The 20879-nt window shown below is 37.8% G+C and overlaps 1 protein-coding gene across 8 annotated transcripts in view; it reads right to left on the bottom strand.

Moving 5' to 3' along the window:
* Positions 1–20879, bottom strand: part of KCNU1 (potassium calcium-activated channel subfamily U member 1) — a 151752-nt gene that overhangs the window by 83596 nt on the left and 47277 nt on the right. For 7 of the 8 annotated variants that reach the window (NR_134267.2, XR_001745486.3, NM_001031836.3 and 4 more), the window contains exons 11-18: positions 18871–18976; positions 17662–17744; positions 16165–16234; positions 15585–15737; positions 11955–12067; positions 11527–11598; positions 6861–6950; positions 6631–6728 (exon numbers count right to left, since the gene is read on the bottom strand). Coding sequence is in view for 6 of the 8 variants with exons in the window: in NM_001031836.3 (NP_001027006.2) it covers positions 6631–6728; positions 6861–6950; positions 11527–11598; positions 11955–12067; positions 15585–15737; positions 16165–16234; positions 17662–17744; positions 18871–18976 (785 nt within the window). In the remaining 2 variants the exon portion in view is untranslated. The remainder of the gene's footprint in view (positions 1–6630; positions 6729–6860; positions 6951–11526; positions 11599–11954; positions 12068–15584; positions 15738–16164; positions 16235–17661; positions 17745–18870; positions 18977–20879) is intronic. The other variant, XM_011544424.3, reaches the window with a different exon arrangement.

Below are 20879 nucleotides of genomic sequence, written 5' to 3'. Positions count from 1 at the left end.
AGAGGTTGATTAATAATAAAAAATGTTAAGTTAGGCCCTGATTGCTTCACAAGTAAAATTCTTTTAGATGCTTAAAGAAGAATTAACACTAACCCTTCACAAACCGTTCCAAAAAATAAAAGAAGAGGGAATTTCCAATTCATTCTATGGGGTGAGTTTTCATATGATGGCAAAAGCAGACAAAGACATACAAGAAAAGGAACCTAAAGACCAAAATTTGTATTGAATATAGATTCAAAATTCCTCAACAAAATGCTAGCAAATCAAACCCAACAATGTATAAAAAAGATTCTATTCTATGACCAAGTGAGATTTCTCTCAGAAATACAAGGTGAGTTTAACATTTGGATATCAATTAATCCAATATACCATATTAATAGAATAAAATATAAAAACCACATAATTATCTCAACAAAGCAAAAAAAATGACAAACATCAAAGCCATTCATGAGAAAAAACCTTGACAATATAGGAATAGAACAGAACTTCCACAATCAAATAAAGAGCATCTATGAAAAATTCACAGCCAACATCATAACTAATGGTGAAAGATTGAATGCCTTCCCCCTATGGTCAGGAACAAAGTAAAAATACAAGCTGTCACTACTTCTATTTAAGAAGGTACTGATGGTTCTGCCACAATAATTAGGCAAGAAAATGAAATAAGAGGCAATCAAAAAACTGTTAGAACTAATAAACACATTCAGTGAGGTTGCATGATATAAGACCAATATACAAAAATCAATTATACCTGTATATACTACAAATGAACCATCTAAAAATAAAGCTAAAAAACAATTTTATTTACAATAGCAATAAAAATAAAATACTTAGTAATCAAATTAACAAAAGTAGTACAAAACCTATGATGTGAAAACTATAAAACACTGTTTCAAGAAATTAAAGAGGATCTAAGTAGATATGAAGACATCATATGTTCATCGTGTATTAATCAATTTTCACACTGCTATAAAGAACTGCCTGAGACTATTTTATGAAGAAAAACGGTTTAATTGACTCACAGTTCTGCATGGCTCGGGAGGTCTCAGGAAACTAACAATCATGGCAGAAGACAAAAGGAAAGCAAGGACCTTCTTCACATGGTGGTAGGAGAGACAGAGAGAGAGAGAGAGAGAGAGAGATAGAGAGAGAGAGAAGGGAAGTGCCACACTTTAAACCATCAGAACTTGTGAGAACTCACTCTCACAAGAGCAACGTGGGGGAAACCATCCCCATAATCAATCACCTCTCACCAGGTTCCTCCCTTGACTCACGGGGATTACAATTCAAGATGAGATTTGGGTGGGGACACAGAGCCAAACCATATCAATAAATCAGAAGATTTAATATAATTAAGATATTTCCAAAATTTATCTATAGATTCAAAAGGCTCACAGTTAAAATCCCAGCTAGTTTCCTTGCAGAAATTAACATATTGATCCTGACCCACATGGAAATGCAGAAATCCAGATTAAACAAAATAATATTGAAAAAGAATAACAAAGTTGGAGGACTTATTGTTCCCAGTGTCAAACTTACTACAAAACTATAGTAATCAAGACAGTGTGGTACTTGCATAAGGTTACACATATAGATTAATAGAATACAATTGACACCCAGAAATAAATCCAGATATTTAAAGTCAATTGTTTTTTGACAAGAATAGTTTTTGAATAAATGAATTTTGGGACAACTGGATAGCCACAATGAAAAGAGTAAAGTTGGATCCTCTTCTTCTACCATAAACAAAAATAGCTCAGAATAGATCATAGAGGCTGGGCACATCGGCTCATGCCTGTAATCCCAGCACTTTCGGAGATTGAGGCAGGTGGCTCACTTAAGCCTAGGAGCTCGAGAACAGACTGAGAAATATGATAAAACCCTATCTTTACAAAAAATGCAGGAATTAGCTGGGCATAGTTGTGGGCACCTGTGGTCCCAGTTACTTTGGAGGCTGAGGCAGGAGGATCTCCTGAACCCAGGAGGTCAAGGCTGTAGTGAGCCATGACTGTACCACTGCACTGCAGCCTGGGTGATGGAGTGAGACCCTGTCCCAAAGGAAAAAAAAAAAAAAGATCACCGATTTTGTAAGAGCCAAATACAGAATTTTTAGAAGAAAGTTTTGGGGTAAATCTTGGTGACCTTAGATTGATCAAAACCTTCTTAGATATTGCACAAAAGCACAAGTGACAAAATAAAAAATATATCATTGAACATCATCAAAACTAAACAATTTTGTGATTCAAAATATGTAACAAAAATGAAAAGCAAAACCACAGAATGGGAGAAAATATTTGCCAATCATACATCTGATAAGGGACTATGTATTTAGAATATATAAAGATCTTATACAACTCAATAGTAGAAAGACAATAATCAAATTTAAAAATAGGATCTAAGTAGATATTTCTTCAAAGAAGATATGTAAATGGTCAATGAGCTCCTCATGAAAAAATGCCATTTAGGAAAATTTAGATCAAAACCATAATGAGATACCACTTTACAACCATTAGGATGACCATTATTTTTATAAATGAAAAGTAAGTGTAGGTGAGAATGTAGAAAAACTGGAACCTTTCTGCATTTCTGGTGGGAATATAAAATGGTGTAGCTGCCGTGGACAATGGTGTGGTGATTCTGCAAATAATGAAACATAGAATTTGCATTTGATTTAGCAATTCTACTTCTGGGTGTATACATAAAAAAATGGAAAGCAGGAACTTGAACAGATATTTGTGCCCCAATGTGCATAGCAGCATTATATACAATATGTAAAGGGTGGAAACCACCCAAATGTCCATCAATAGATAAATGTATAACAAAATGAGGTATAGATCTATATGACAGAATATTATTCAGCAAGAAAAATACAACAGAATAATATTCAGCAAGAAAAAGAAATGAGGTTTTTGGTGGGTTTTGTTTGTTTGTTTGTTTGTTTTGAGACAGTCTTGCTCTGTCACCCAGGCTGGAGCGCAGTGGCCTGATCTTGGCTCACTGCCAACCTGCACCTCCTGGGTTCAAGAGATTCTCCTGCCTCAGCCTCCCAAGTAGCTGGGATTACAGGCACACACCACCACACCCAGCTAATTTTTGTATTTTTAGTACAGACGGGGTTTCACCATGTTGGCCAGGCTGGTCTCAAACTCCTGACCTCAAGTGATCGGCCCACCTCAGCCTCCCAAAGTGCTGGGATTACAGGCATGAGCCACTGTGCCTAGCTGAAATGAGGTATTGATACATGCTACAGCATGGCTGAATAAAAGGAGCCAGACACAACAAGCCACAAACTATAGGATCCTTTTTTTTGTTTTTCGTTTTGTTTTTTTTGTGTGTGAAATGACCAGTATAGGTAAATCTACAGTGACAGAAAGTAGACTAGTGGTTTCCAGGGCTGTGGGTTGAGGAGAAGGAAGAGTGACTTCTATTGGCTATGGGGTTTCTTTTTGAGGTGAGGAAAATGTTCTAAAATTGATTGTAGTGATGACTACACAACTCTATTTGTATAAAGAAACTCATTGAATTGTACACTGTAAATGGATATATATTTATTTCATGGTATTTGGAATATATCTGAATAAAGATGTTATAAAGATAGGACACAGCCTGATCTCTGAGAAAGAACCCAGTTCTCCACCCCCCTCCCCCACACATATATACAGTGCTTCAGGTTGATAAGGGGTGACTAGGCCAGGAAAATGTGATATTTGTCTGACGTGCAAGGAGAAAAATGAGAGAGATGCTTCCCTTTTCATATGGATTCTCAGTGGTGTGCTCTTGAAACCATGTCTAGCAACAATGCAAGAGGACTGCAGAAGAAGAAACACGACAGTGTCTGTACGCGGGGAGAAATGTGGAGAGAAACCCACTGAGGTTCCCATGTCCTGACAGACAAATGCATATAAAGGAGGAGAGTTTAAAATCCCAAACAGCAGACAGACTAAAATGACGTTAGGCCAATGAAGTGCCACAAACACACCAAGTGGAATGGATCCACTTCAGTAATGGTGCTGGGGAAACTGGATATCCATATGCAGAAGAATGAAACTAGGCCCCTTTCTTTCACCCCATATAAAAATTAGCTCGAAATGGATTAAAGACTTAAATGGAACACCCAAAACTACAAAACTGCTAGAAGAAAATAGTGGTTCAAGATTTTAAACTAGGCAAATATTTTATTGCTAAGACTTCAAAAGCACAGGGAACAAAACCAAAAATAGACAAATGGTGCTATATTAAACCAAAACCTGCACAGCAAAGAAAACAATCAACAGACGGAAGAGACATCTGTAGAATGGGAGAAAATATTTGCAAACCATTCATCTGACATGCGACTAATATCCAGAATATACAAGGAACTTGATGGCAAAAAATATATAATCTGATTAAAATAGGAAAAAGATCTGAATAAACATTTTGCAAAAGACATACAAATGGTATATAAGTATGTTTAACATCATTAATTATCAAAGAAATGCAAATCAAAACTACAATGAGCTATCATTTTACTCCAGTTACAATGACTATCATGAAAAAGACAAAAAACAAAACAAAACAATAGATGCTGACAAGGATGTGGAGAACAGGGAACTCATACGCTGTTGGTAGAAACATGAATTAGTATAGCTGCTATGGAAAGCTGTATGGGAATTCATCAAAAAACTAAAAGTGGATCTACCATATGATCCAGCAATTCTACTACTGTGTATCTATAAAAATAATCAGTGTATCAAAAAGATATCTGCACTTCCATGTTTATTGTAGGACTATACACAATAGCTAAGTTATGGAAGCAACCTAAATGTCCATCAAAAGATAAATAGATGAAGAAAATGTGATACGTATAAACAATGAAATACTATGCAGTCATTAAAAAGGATGAAATCCTGTCATTAGCAGCAACATGTATGAGACTGGAGGATATTAGGTTCACCACATGTTCACCCACACATGGGAGCTAAAAAACAATTGAGCTCATGGAAGTAGAGACTCGACTTGTGGTTATTAAAGGATGAGAAGGGGAGAGGGAGGGGAAGATGCAGAGAGATTGGTTAAAGAATGCAATGTTACAGCTGGACAGGAGGAATAATTTCTAGTGTCCTTCATCGTTAAATATAATTTATTGTATATTTTCAAAAGACTAAAAGGGAGGATTTTGAATGTTCACAACACAAAAATGACAAAAGTTTGAGGTGATGGATGGATATGCTAATTACCCCGATTTGATCATTATACATTGTATATCTATATCAAAATATCACTCTATTTCAAAAATATATGCAATTATTACATGTGAACTAAAAGTAACAGAAAAAAAATTTAAAAAGGAATGAAAAGACAAGGACTACTGAAAAGAGTTTTGCAGACTTCAAGACTAGGAGAATGGATTTCAGTAACAAATGATAGAGCCTGACCCAAAGCCAGGAGGAGCAGATTCATTGGTTGTTGATGCAGAGGTGACAGAAGGTAACAATTACAGACCAAAGTTAATGAGGAACCTCAGGAGAAATCAGTGAAGACTTGCGGTTCACTGCAAGAACACTCATGATGCTAAGCCAGCTTACTCTTGCATTTAAATAGCATTCTGAGAAGAAGGAGAGAACAAGAACCTCAGGGATGAAAATAGACCTGATAGAAAATTCATATTTTGAATTGACTAAGGTTAAATTCTGAAACACTGGGGTTTTACACATAGAGTCTGAATGTACCTGGACAAGGCTAAGTTTTTTTTTTTTTTTTTTCGCTCTGTCGCCCAGGCTGGAGTGCAGTGGTATGATCTCGGCTTACTGCAACCTCCGCCTCCCAGGTTCAAGCAATTCTCTGCCTCAGCCTCCCAAGCAGCTGGGATCACAGGCACACGCTGCCACGCCCAGCTAATTTTTGTATTTTTAGTAGAGACGAGGTTTCACCATCTTGGCCAGGCTGGTCTTGAATTCCTGACCTCATGATCCACCCCCCTTGGCCTCCCAAAATGCTGGGATTACAGGTGTGAGCCACCGTGCCCGACTGAGGCTAAATTTTAAACTAGAAGGGACTAAGTGATTATGAATGCTTGAGATTAATTTTTCCTTTTCTGCCATTAAGTGGAAAGGGGTGTTGGTAAACTGCTGAGTTCAGTTAGAGAAAATAGAGAAAATTACATTCCCTCGGCACCATGTCAGGATGAGTAAACTTTAAACTTCTTGCTATCCATTAAGGAAACAGAGTACTTAAGGTATGGTCATGAGGTAGCATCCTCGTGGCCAACCAAGTGGTCAGATATAGGCTGAATTTTCAGTCTGAAGTTGTGAAAAACTGTGAAATCATGAAAAAGCAATGGGCTGAAAGTCAGCATGCCTGGGATTGAGTTTGGTGATGCCGCTAACTGGCTATGTGACTTTGGACAAAGTGACTGGATCTCTTAAAATGCATTTGCCTGCTTTTAAAGGAACTGAATTCGATAACTAGTTAGGTTTCTTCCAGCTCTAAAACACTGATTCTCACCTCTTGTGTGGTCAGTGAGGAAATGTCTGCCACTTCCTGGCCAAGTTCAAATGGACATTGCCTTTTAAGAGATGGAACCCTCTTCTCTTTCGTCAGGCAGCTCCCTAGAGGCTGGGCTAAGGACAGCCAGAAATAAAGTGCAATTACCTGTGATGTGCTGCCGGCTTCTGCTTTTGCAGCCACAGTTTGTAATTAGCTCAGGAATGAACACATCATCATGACAGACTGAACAGTAAAACAAGGCTCTGGACAATGAAAGAAAACCAAGAATGAATTATGTGAGTCTTAATGCAAAGGAGGCATGGTGCTGACTCAGTGGGCCTCCCATTAAGCTGTAGTTGCTTTAGTGCTTTTCCCCCATAAAATAATAAAATTACCTTCTGACGTCCTTTGGAGTTTCAGCAATAAAGAACCCTAATGTGTTCTTACGTATCCTCACTTGTGGAGGTGGATTTAGTATCAGACCACTGGAAACAAAAAATAAACACATGGTAATGTTTCCCTCTGATTTCAGTGGCAACAGTTGGTGCCTCTTTCTGTTATGATCAATGGATTCTCTGAGTTGCTAATTTAATCGTATTCAACCTCCTCTTACTGCCAAACACAGTGGAGAATGTGAATTTGACATTTGTAATTCTTTGTTTGATTGGGGCTGACTATGCAGAGGGGAGCCAGGGAACAACTTGATCAGTGAGCTGAACACACAGCGGACCTGCGGCAAAGCCTCTCCCGGATTCTGTCATGCATCTGAGATGGTCCGACCAACTCAGGTGCACAACATCTTGCTGATTTAAGCTATCAAATGACAAATATGCCGAGACCACACAATTGCCAGGCTTAGCGTCATACTAGTAGTGCTCATCTTTAGGCCACTTGCCATTTAAAGTTAACATTTAATTAACCAGCTGGATTCAAAAGTTTCTTCTATTCACCTATGCAGTTTTTGAGGTTGTGCGTTTCTTTTGACTTCAGTTTTGCTTATTTTGATTGCCAGATTTTTGACAGCATGTGAATTATTTCTATTGTTATCTTACTTGAACCTTTTGATTTTCTATTTTCTTGTGGTTTATGTGTTTGAGAATATTGTATTATAATTTTCTGTCCATGATACTCTTTGATGCAGTACTCTGCTATGGCTTTTCAAATTACCCACATTTCTCCCTGTTTATCAGGATCTCCTGCCTTTATTTCCTTCAATTCAGATGTCTATGGTGAGGTCTCAAAACCCTATAATTCCCCTCACTTCTTTTTTGCAGAACGGAAGTTCTCCTTTCCTCCTTTAAAAATCATCCCTTCTCTTGTATTCACATCGAAATGAGATGAAGTTTTAATTCTGGCAAAGCTTATTCTGTTGCTGGGATACTTACAACTTTCAAGTGTTAGAGAACCCTCACAAAAATAAATGAGCTTGCACAGCCAAAGTTCTTCAGCCTTATGCCAAGAATAGACCCAGGCTATATAGCTGTGTTCAGGTAGATTACTACCTCAGACAATGGATGGCCTTTTCTGAGTATTTACTGACTTATATTAATGAGTGAAATAATTGGTTTTAACTTTGGAAGGAAAATACAACTGCGGCCCCTTAAATATTATTGGCTGATGCTCACTAACTAGCAGATGCATGCTTAGTTGTGTCTTACATAGCCTTTTTTTTTTGTTTTTTTTTGAGACGGAGTTTCACTCTTGTTGCCCAGGTTGGAGTGCAATGGCATGATCTCGGCTCACTGCAACCTCTGCCTTCCAGGTTCAGGTGATTCTCCTGCCTCAGCCTCCCGAGTAGCTGGGATTGCAGGTGTGCACCACCATGCATAGCTAATTTTTTGTATTTTTAGTAGAGACGGAGTTTCACCATGTTGGACAGGCTGATCTCAAACCCCTGACCTCAGGTGATCCACCTGCTTCGGCCTCCCAAACTGCTGAGATTACAGGCATGAGCCACTGCGCCTGGCCGCTCCTTTCATTTTTTTAAAAGGAGAAAGGTTTCTCTGAACTCATATTAAATATCTAGCTATGAAGATACTGTCACAATAAAACATATATTTGACTGTATTTGAGAAAAGAGGTGAGCCTCTCTTAAGGATTTTCCTAACATGGTGTTATTAGTTGATTCACTCTTTATGATTTGGCTGGTTGCTCTATCAGAGAATGTTTGTCCCTGGAACAAAATCATTACAGTAAGTGATGGGGTCAGATCCAGCTTCATCTGTTAGCAGGTGACAAATAATTCCGTAAGAAAAATTCTTATAATTCTCCAAGCATTTTGCAAGTCGTAGGATCTCTTCAAGCTTGCCAATTTGAAGAGGAGCTAAAAAGTGAGAAAAGATAGGCTTTTTCCCCAGAATTTCAATATATTTGCTTAAAGTCCAACTATTTAAACATGCAGTCTTCCTTCTACCAATAATGGCAGCAGTGAATTTACTACAGGGTGGTTACAGAAGCACAGCCCTGGAGCCAGAGGACCTGAGTTCAGATCCTGGCTCTGCCACTTGGGTGTTGTGTGAGGTTGGGAAAATCATTAAAACTTTCTGGGGTTCAGCTTCCTCCTCTGTAAAATGAGACTAATAATAGTACCTATCTCACAGCACTGTTGTGAGGATTATTCAAGAGTTAACATATGTAACAGGTCTATAGCAGTGTTGGTCACAAAGTATCAATCATAGAAGGGAATGTTCTTATCAATACATTTGCCAAATCAGAACTTAATCCTTTTGATTCACCAGACTTCCCAGTGAGAAGACAAAGTTAAATCTCTGTTTCCATAGATCCCCCCTTCATTGAGGTACATGTGTGTTAGGTAGTAAACAGGGCCTCTTAAATCTACGTGAGATTAGTTGCTAAATAAATATTCATGTTTCTGGTCTGTGATGTCCTAACCGTCATCTTAATAAAGTTTACAGAAATCTAGAATGTTAAAGGTGGAAAAGATCTTAAGGGCATGTGGTTGTAGTTTCCAGATTCCAGTGAATAAACCAATGATATCATGGAGACTTGAGAAAGAATTCTCAGGCTCACCCTTGAAGATTTGGTTCTGCAGTCAAAAGTAGGGTTTTGGAATCTATAAGTCTTTAAAACTTATGCAAACAGGCTGGGCACAGTAGCTTACTCCTGTAATCCCAGCACTTTGGGAAGCCGAGGTGGGTGGATCACCTGAGGTCAGGAGTTTGAGAGCACCAACATGGTGAAATCCCGTCTCTACTAAAAATACAAAAATTAACCGGGTGTGGTGCACACACCTGTAATCTCAGCTACTCAGGAGGCTGAGGCAGGAGAATCACTTGAACCTGGGAGGCGGAGGTTGCAGTGAGCCGAAATTGTGCCATTGCACTCCAGCCTGGGCAAAAAGAGTGAAACTCCGTCTCAAAAACAAAAACAAAAAAACTTATGCAAATAATTCTGACATATAAGCCAGGTGATTGAAAGACAAACTTGTTACTAAAACTTGATAAAATTTTGGGCCAGTCTGAAACCCGAACTACCTGGCTTATGATTCCAAGTCTACCCATTTTACTATGACCTGTTTCTAGTAGGAGGCTCATTTATGCAGATGTTTACATTCAGAGGTTTTGATTGTGAGATTTTCTTGAGCACAGCAGGATTTTTAAACAGAACTTAGGCAGCCAGACAATACTACTTGTTATTCTCTTCTTAATGACTTGCTTTTTACAATCCCACTGACATCTTCTACCCAGATGCTTTCTATATCCTGTCAACTCAGACAGGTCTTTGATGCTTTCCCAACTTTTCACATATAATAATTCCTTTATCGCCCACCTGATATAATTGAAAATTATTGCATTTTGAATGTTTTCCTATAATTTTACAATTTCTGGTAATGTCAATTTTAGAAAAGGAAGGTGTGTGAGAGATTCTTTAACTCTATTTCCTCATTCTACAAATGATGAATCCTTATCCACGGCCACAGGGCCAGCAAATCAGTCAGGATCAGAATCTAGTCTGTTAATTCCTATTTAGCACAAGTTAATTTTTCACTAAAAAGTACACATGAGCCAACACACAGTCTTTCTTGCCCTCATCCCATTTAAGCCCCACCCCTTTTCTTTTTTTTTTAACAGATCTTTTTCTCTATATTATAGTATCTATTTGTCTTTCTTTTCCACCTTTTCTTCCATTTATGTTTATGTATATTTCATTTGCTCTGAATTTTATTTTGCATTATGTGATAACTTCTCTTACTTTCATATTTATTCACTTATGGGTTTTTGGGAAATGCTGATGTCTGGTGATGAGGTCTCCTTTATCAACTCTATCAACAAAAGCCTTTGTCCGGTCGGCTGGTCAGATTCCCATTTTGCCATAGTTTGTCCTGTACTTTTTTTAAAATTATTTTTTGGAGACAGAGTCTTGCTCTGTCACCTAGGCTGAAGTGCAGTGGTGTGAACTCAGCTCACTGCAGCCTCTGCCTCCCAGGTTCAAGCAATTCTCATGCGTCAGCCTCCCAAGTAGCCGGGATTGCAGGCCCAGGTGCACGACAATGTCCTGCTAATTTTTGTATTTTTAGTAGAGACAGGGTTTCACCATGTTGGCCAGGCTGCTCTTGAACTCCTGGCCTTAAGTGATCCGCCTGCCTCAAACTCTCAAAGTGCTGGCATTACAGGCATGAGCCACCATGCCCAGCATTGTTCTTTACTTTGCATGGCCAGTGTTTGTGGGAACATTTTTATCACAAATGATTCAATTTTGTGGTATTATTTCATGGTCAAGATCTGGTAATATTATTAAGAGAAACAGATTTGAGAAGGTGACCATTTCTTCTCCTCTCTGCTCCTGAGAGAGAGGTGGGGCAGGGTCCGAGGAACAAAAGAGAAGTGTTTGCCCAAGAGGGTCACCACCCTAACCTGAGCCATCAGAGACAGCACAGCAGAGGAGCCAGAGAGCCCCAGAGGCTGCCTCTCAGCCAATCCACCAAAGGGAAAAAGCTTAGTTATAGCTGCATCTTTGGAAAAATTCTTAATCACAAAGAATCTCCAGGAAAAAAAAAAAAAAAAAAAAAACAACTGAAGAGATGAGCAGACTTATTGGTACCAGAAACCATCCGTAAAGAGGGACTTGTATTCGATGGCTATCAACAGGAGGTGCATCTTCAGAAAGCAGAGCCTGGGAAGGAAGACGAGGAGTCAAAAGGAGAGCAAGCGGTCAGTGAACAACAAAATAACTAACACTCTGTGCTCTGTGCCTAGGAGGAAACCAACATCTTAGAGGAAAGAACTCCCAATGTGGAATGATCCCTTGTAAGTGAATCCACCTAAAGTAACCAACAGCCACTGCACCAACTGGGACAGAGATGAAATTGCCCCATCCCAACTGTAAACTTCTAAGTTTCAGGGACCCTGGGCTGTCCCTTCTTAGATCTTCAGTTTGTAATGAAGCCTGGCCTATAGTGGGCCCTCAGTGAACGTTGTTGAAAGAATGCTGTTGTCTGAAGAATGAGGGAAGTATTTCACTTCACTTACCGGGCAACTTCAGGAAAGCTCATTCCAGCAAAGTCATCAGAGAGACGTTGGGTCAGAATTTTGTTTTTCATGCTATTCAAGAAGTGTTTCTTCCAGGTCTGTTTAGGCATAACCTGGAATACATAATCATGCCACACGAAGCAAAACGACAAGGAATGTAGAATGTTAGAATTCACATTGCATATTCTGCTAAGCACAAACAAGTCTTCATTGCATGTAAGTCATAAAAAAGAGATTTATCTTAGTGCTTAACTAGAGAAATGTTAAAGGAATAACTAAAAAGCTAACTCCATCTCAACTATTTTCACCAGAGTTCAGGATGAGGCAGACACATCATTACTTATTTTCTTGCAGATGGCGTTCAAGTTTCCTTGCTGGCAGTGAGAATTCTCCATCACCCAGTCCTGATTTCAGCTTTTCAGTTAGTAAGAATCAGATGGGAAAGTTAATGTGGAATCTAAATTATCTCTCTCTGGATATGACTACTCAAGATTGGTTTAAAATATTTTAGTTTTCTACTAACCATTTATCTCAAAGAAGAAAATATTCATAGCTTCTGTCCAGCATCAGAACCCTTCATAAGTTCAAATGAACTTCAAGGGCCATCCTGATGCATGGAAGAGAGAATGGAGAAATCAAGGCAAAAAGTAGGTTTCCAGAGAAATGGGAGATGTGAAAGGAGAAAGATATCTCAAAATGGCTAAATGCACCCAACCCAACAGAAAGGCTGTTAGGAACTCGTGGCTGACGTTTGTGTAGGACCCTCTCCTCATCCTTCTCCACCTACTGCCATGAGAATCACCACCACACTGTTCTGATATGGCAAGACAGTCTTCTTAAAACCGAGAATCTCAGATGAAAATCTTGAATTTCTAAACGTTTAGGAGCACTGTTGCTATGGAGAGTTATGGCTGGTTCAGAAATTATCTTCAGATGGTCGTGATGCAGTTTGGAAAAAAAGCAAAACAAAAACAAACACATAGACAAACAATTCTGCCCTACGAAAAAGGACAGACTATTTCAGGCATTCCAGTGCCTGCTTCCACCACGAAGATTCAGCTGAATGAATCTTTTCCCTTTTCCCACTTTCTTAAAGTCCTCTCATGAGGCGGGCTCTGATTATTAGGTGGTTCATACCACTAATTTCCAATAACTAAATAAATTGGCTTAGTGCTTCTAATCTAAATGTTTCAATGTTTGAAAGAAGGTAAAAAATGATAGCGTGGGGATGGAGAAGAGTTCCAGAGATAGATTTAAAAAGATCAGAAAGGAAAACAGGAGGATTTTGGATAGAAGAATCTGGGTGCTCAAGTAAGCCTGTTGGATCAGATCTAATGTAAATTTAAGTTTAAGGCCATGCTCTGAACCCAGGACCAACTGGAAATGTTCTTCGAGCTACAATTTCTCACAATATGATCAATATAATTAAAACACATGGCATTGACTCAAGGCCTTTTAATCTGAGTTCTCAGAAGTTTTACAAATATTAACTCAATACTTGGAAAAAGCCAGTTATGAGATTAATAACTTTAATTTTATAGATAGAGAAATTGACAGTCAGGGAAAGTAAGGGCCTACTCTGAGAGAAATCAGTCATAAAACTCTGGAGTCCCAGCCACTAAACCAAAGTCGATAGTTTGTTATAGAATTGAAAGCACCAAAGAATAATGCAGCTTTCACATATTTTGCCTGATGCTGTTCAGTGAGGATTCCTGAAAGTAGGTTTCAGACTTCACTCAAAAAAACATTATGGAGACCATAAATATCTCTCAATTCCTGTAAGCTAAAATCCATCTTGTATAAATAATGACAGGTGATCATCCTCAGTGGGGAGGTTACAACTCTAGATCTTATTTTTATTTCATTTATTGGTTTTTTTGAGACAGAGTCTCACTCTGTCGCTGAGGCTGGAGTGGAGTGGCGTGATCTCAGCTCACTGCAACCCCCACCTCCTGGGTTCAAGCAACTCCCCTGCCTCAGCCTCCCCAATTGCTGGGGCTACAGGCTCACGCCACCATGCCTGGCTAATTTTTTTATATATATTTTTACTAGAGACAGGGTTTCACTACGTTGGCAAGGTTGGTCTCAAACTCCTGAGCTCGAGTGACCCACCAACCTCAGCCTCACAAAGTGTTGGGATTACAGGCGTGAGCCACCACACCTGGCCACAACTCTTTAAATAAGAAAAATACAAGAGGATGGTTTTACATCCCTGTCTTCTATAGTTTCATGAAGGAGGATAAGTCTTCATATAGAGTTCACATTCCATTTATTTCCATTTACTTTCTCCAGCCATGGAGATTGAAATCACAATAATCACAAGAAATATTGAAGTTCTCTGCCACTTTCTAAATATACAACACAATGACAGTGTCCTTATCAACCATTTTCTAGGCTGCATACAGTGACCACTACATGAAAGTAAAAGCTTGTGTGTTGTAGCTGCATGAAGGCTCATTCCCTCCACCCTGACTACCATTTCTTTTCACCTGTATATTACATCTCTTTACATTCACGGAAGGAATTACAGAAGCATTCCGTTTGTTGCAGTTAGGATATAGCTGGCCAGAGCACCTCTTACTTCTTTTGCTTTTCGTTAAATAGCACCAGGGAAGAAACAGAAAAAGATGCAAATATTTGTACTGAACACAGAAAAAAGAGAACAGAGGAAAGAGCGAGCAAAGAGAGGTCAAGAGGGAAGTCACGTGTATGAAAGGCAAGCATGGACTCAGAATTAAATGGAAAGTAAGGTCATTCTCTGCAAGCACTTTAGAAAAGGAAGACCAGGTCCAGCCAAGGGCTAGCACACCTTGCCTGGAGCATTTCATGGAAATGATATTTGGAAGACCACCTTTTGTGCTACAAAAATTTATCCCAAGAGTCACTTTTAGCCCCTTACTTTGTCTCAGACAAAAATATCAAAAATCTTGATGTGAGACATTGTGTGGAAATAACACCAGAGGCATACAGCATTGTGGTAACAACACTGTGGACCAGACAGTTCTAGCTCTGCGGCTCACTAACTTACTGCATGATCAAGTTAGTTAGCTTCACCAATTCACTGCTGGGATACTAACAACATATTATTGAGGGGAAACACAAGACAGTAGGCACTCATCATGTGGTTACTGTTATTATTCCTGCATGGAATGCTCCCTTAAACAACCTGGAAAAATTAGATTTTAATTACTATTTGTATCATTTCTATTTGATGAATATAATTATTATACCAATTATTATTTTGGATTTAATTTATATTGAAATATATGAATCCTTCATTAATAATATAACCTTTATTTATATTTTCACTTTCGATAACTCAATGCTTCTACTTTGATGAATGTACTTTGATTTAAAACATCCTGGACTGTAGGTAGGAAGCAGAGTTATATTTTTTCTGTTTTGTAGATAAATATTCTTAGGCAGGAATAAAATAAATGATTTCTTCAAGGTCAGTGTGGTACCTGGGACTTTTAAATTCAGATCTTCTAATCCCTTCCCAGCTCAAGCAGAAGTCATATCTCATTGCTTGGGGCCTTGATGCTTTTCTCAAATTTTTTTCCTATTTCTGATCTTAATATGTAGGACATAGGAACAGAGCCAAGAATCAACAGTAATTTACAAGGTTACCTTTTTGTTTTGCTCCACAAATAGAGATGTTAGGAAGGTACACAAGCCTGGCACCAAACAGCCTTGGGCGATAAATCCAAGTTTTAATTCAGCAAAGCAGATGATGTTGTCTCCGGTGTCCCAGTTCCAGCTGGGAATCTTTGGCAGATAAACCTGTTCCATAGCACAAAGCAGGTCAAACATTAGGAATAAACACACCTCAAGAAAGCTCTTGAGGATGGATGTCTTTCTTTTTTTAAATTTACTTGAAATCATATATTCTTCATTTTTGCACACAAAAGTGGTGCCCAGGTCAATGAAAATGATAAGAACAAATTCAGCATTTGAAAGTGGTTAGTGGTCAATGGCTCTCATTTTTTGAAACAAAAATAGCTAGAGTTGCAAAATCAGGTCAAATGACTTAAACTTCTAATTCTGCCCCCAATTTACATTGTTAAGTGATTATCCATCTTAATAAGACTCCAAATTTTACCTATGATTAGCAAAAACTTTTTATTTACACATCCATTAGAAAATTAAAAAGTTCGTCTAGCTATATAGATAAAAGGAGGAGATGGAATATGCTAGAATGTTACTATACCTTGTTATGGGATTGCAGTATCTGTATGATGATTCTGGTGGTAGAATCATAGTTCTTGATAGAGAGCACCCTATATAAACCCCAAACACTCTCATTAGTCATGTGTCATAGCCAAAGGGCTTTGTAATATAATTTAATTCAGAGTTAAATTGATATGTAGGTAAGTGTAGAAAAACTTGGCATATAATAAAGTTTATTGTTGTGTTGTTTTCTAAAAATGTTTTTAGTAGCCTACACAGAAGAGCATCATTGTTTTCATGACTTTGCCAACCAAATCTATGGAATGATTATCTCTTGGTGTTAGAAGACTGTGTTCTTCTGAGACCAATTCTTGAGGAGGAAATCAACAGTTTCATGTTTTAGCTTTCAAACCCAAACCTAATAATTACAGGTAAAAATAGAAATTTGATGGTAGTCTATGGCTTGAAATAGCTCATAGACTGTCTAATTCAACTTCCCCATTTTACAAATTAAGAAACTAAGATCTACGTCATATTTACTGTACTATGTATGGTACAGATTTTCAGCTGTTTCTTGCTATATGTAATGTCACCTTCAGCTATCTGTGTTTATTTTACTCTGGAGATTGGAAGTTCATCTGGATTAGCCAAAATGCCATTGTCATCATAATCACAGTTATCACAAGTCACGTTCTTGCTAGAAGAGTTCACAGTTTAATGTAATAACACTGACTCTAGCCATCTTGAAAATACTTGCCGATGGTCAGGCCAGGCGCAGTGGCCCAGCCTGTAATCCCAGCACTTTGGGAGGCTAAGGTGGACAGATCATCTGAGCTCAGGAGTTCAAGACCAGCCTGACCAACATGGTAAAACCCCATCTCTACTAAAAATAAAAAATTAGTCTGGCGTGGTGGCACATGCCTGTAATCCCAGCTACTTGGAAGGCTGAGGCAGAACTGCTTGCACCGGGGAGGTGGAAGTTGCAGTGAGCCTAGATCACGCCACTGCCCTCCAGCACAGGCAACAAGAGCAAAACTCCGTCTCAAAAAAAAAAAAAGAAAAGAAAAGAAAAGAGAATACTTACTGATGGTCAAACAAAAAGCACGTCATACCGGACCACGCATAATCTTTCACCACAACTACTAGAGAAAAATCCCAATAAATAACGTGCACTAATAGGGTTCATAAAATTGCATCTTCATTTTTGAGGAGAGGATATTAGTTATAATGGTTCTATCTGAACAATAATCAGTTATTTGTATGCTTGCTTCTTAAATTCAGATGGCTACTATAGATATGAAACTTCAGGGAATTATATGGAGAAGCACATTCACACTCAGGATGCTCCGTTTTTATCCTTTTGCATCCATCTGCACAGTCTTGGGGAGCAGGCAAAAAGTAGGCAGAACCTTGGAATATGATGAACCTAGTGATATGATAGACGACATTTTCTCCTTTTTATGCTTATGTACCGGGCATTACTTTAAAAGAGATAGAAAAAAATAATCGTTATAGCATACAAAACACAGCTTCTTACCTCATAATGTTGGAAATATCTTCAGCATGGGAATCACTGCACAAAGGATTGGCTATAATCAGGCATGCCTCTGCAGATTCCACCTACCCTTCAAGATCGGACAGGAGCCATCTTGTTAATTACATGGGAAATGCTCTGGTCTTCCCCTTTCGGGTTTTCTAACAATTTTGTAATAAAATTGCTAACACAAAAGAGGACACACTTGGGAATAAGTTGTAATGAGGATGTCTTTACATCAGGATTGTTGTCCTGCAAATGCTGCAAAGGGCAAGGGTTGCAGCTGATGGGCTAGGACACAGGGTCTCTGACATAGGTAAAAGATTGCTTTCAAATGGGTAAAATAAGGCGTTATATTTTTCCTACCATCCATCACCATTATTTGATGCCTAGTGATAAGCCCTAAGGCCTTTATAAGCAACCGTCTGTGTATTTACTTATCTTTCAGGACAGTTAAAAACAGAGGAACTGGGAGTCTACTTGGCTCTAATAAGCAGTTATTCAATATTGGTGGAGTGTGAATTTCAAAGTTCTAGAAAATTACTGAAATGGCTCTTACAGTACTAAACTGCAGGAAAGAGAAATATTTTTCTGGGTCTGTCAATTCTTCATGTTTACTCTATAGATCTTGGCTTTCAACAGAAACTTTTCTGTTTGTTGATTCTCCGAGACTGAGAACATGACAGGAAGCTGCCTTTGATCTTAAGCCAAACCTGTCTAGAGGGTTGGCTGTTGCTCATTATTTTGCGTCACAACTTTAATGAGATTTCTACTATTTTCCTTTATGTTTTTCCTATTGGAAAGCATATCCATGCATTTAGGAGGAGAAGTTGATTAAAGCTGATGGACTCAGAGATCTGCCTTCTGGTAAGAATTCTATTTGTGTGGTAAGATCAAACACACCTTGCTATCCATACCTTTTTCAGACCTCTTAGGCTGATAAAATAAAACTGATTTAGATAGAGAATTTTGAGAAATAAATAATTTAAATATAAGTGTTGGCAAACAGTGAGGTCTGCTTGACATTTCTGAAATCAGATTTGGGGGTCAATTACTACACCTCCTTTACAATTGTTTTTAAAGTTGAGGAAGTTATATTTTCCACCAATTAAAGAAGCTGAAATAATACCTTTTTTAAAAAGCAATATATCCTATTATTTTAATTGTTGCAACTAAGGAAAACTACAAGGAACAAAAACAGCTAGATCTTACCGCAACTCGCCTCAGATCCTCCCACTTCATTGCAGATCCAGAAATGAACGTTGTGTAGGCCAAGTAGCATTTAAATATGGTTTCAAGTTCCAAAGAAGGAGGGGTTCTGGACAAAAAAGAACGTGGCAGCAATGAGGGAAAAAAGATGATTGACTCTGGGTTTAGAGGTTTTTATAACTAATTTGGTGCATTTAGTAGAATCCCTCATAGTGATATGAAAAAATACAAATCAAGTTAATACTATTTTTTTAAAAAATGTAATTACTAAGGATGAAGAAGTTCACTATTTAGTTTAAAAAACTGAGTTACTGAAACAGGCATAACATTTTAAATCAACTATGCATTTAATAAAATGGCTTTTAAATATAAGAAGCAAATATGAAAAAAATTAGAAGGAGAAATTGATGAGTCTGCCACTGTTATGAGAGATTTTGACATATCTTTTTAAACTATTGATAGAGCAAGCAGAAAACAATCATCACAGATTTTGAACACACATGTTTAATATTTATAAATTCTGAAAAGAACATTTAGAGGAACTAATTTTTATAAAGAACACACAAATATTTATCAAAACGGTATTTTTCTTGACAGACAATGAAAGCCTCAACACATTACAAAAACAAAGTTATTACATATAATGATCTTTGATCACAATACAATTAACTTAGAAGTTAACCAAAACACAAATAAAAATAGTTTTCAGATTTAGGAATAAAAAAATAGAGTGCTAAAAATATTATGAGCTTGGAAGAAATTGCAACAATTCTTTATCATTATTCTTAGAAATATGTTGAAAATATTAAATATATATGCTTTGAGATACAGCAACAGCCGTGCTTTAGGAATAATTTGTAGCTTTGGAGATGTATTAGAATAGGATCAAGGAAATAAAAATAAAAGAAATGATGAAAACAAGAATAAGAAACAATGAAAAAGGAACAAAAAGATAAAACAGAGAAGATAAACCACATCAAAAGTCAGTTCTTTGAAAAATAACCTAGCATAATAGGCAAAAGTTTTGTAAAGTTAATGGAGAAAAAATAAAAGACAAAAATGATGCAAATATTGAACAAAGAAGATACAATACATATAGTCAAAGTAGAGATTAAAAAATAACAAAAGTAGACAGCAAATAACTGAATGTCAACAGCTCTGAAAACTTAGCCAAAATGAACAAATTACTTAAAAGTGTATCTTATCAGAACTAACTCTAGAAAAAATAAAAAGCCTAAACTGTTAAAGAAATTGAAGCTGTGGTTTCATGCTCATGGGTAGGAAGAATCAATATCGTGAAAATGGCCATATTGACCAAGGTAATTTACAGATTCAATGCCATCCCCATCAAGCTACCAATGACTTTCTTCACAGAATTGGAAAAAACTACTTTAAAGTTCATATGGAACCAAAAAAGAGCCCACTCACGAAGTCAATCATGAGCCAAAAGAACAAAGCTGGAGGCATCACACTACCTGACTTCAAACTATACTACAAGGCTACAGTAACCAAAACAGCATGGTACTGGTACCAAAACAGAGATATAGATCAATGGAACAGAACAGAGCCCTCAGAAATAACGCTGCATATCTGCAACTATCTGATCTTTGACAAACCTGAGAAAAACAAGCAATGGAAAAAGGATTCCCTATTTAATAAATGGTGCTGGGAAAACTGGCTAGCCATATGTAGAAAGCTGAAACTGGATCCCTTCCTCACACATTATACAAAAAATCAATTCAAGACGGATTAAAGACTTAAACGTTAGACCTAAAACCATAAAAACCCTAGAAGAAAACCTAGGCATTACCATTCAGGACACAGGCATGGGCAAGGACTTCATGTCTAAAACACCAAAAGCAATGGCAACAAAAGCCAAAATTGACAAATGGGATCTAATTAAACTAAAGAGCTTCTGCACAGCAAAAGAAACTACCATCAGAGTGAACAGGCAACCTACAAAATGGGAGAAAATTTTCACAACCTACTCATCTGACAAAGGGCTAATATCC

The sequence above is a fragment of the Homo sapiens genome, chromosome 8 (genome assembly GCF_000001405.40).
Source record: "Homo sapiens chromosome 8, GRCh38.p14 Primary Assembly".
Classification (NCBI taxonomy): domain Eukaryota; kingdom Metazoa; phylum Chordata; class Mammalia; order Primates; family Hominidae; genus Homo; species Homo sapiens.
Note: the sequence above shows the minus strand (reverse complement) of the source record. Positions and strands in the feature narration are given on the sequence as shown.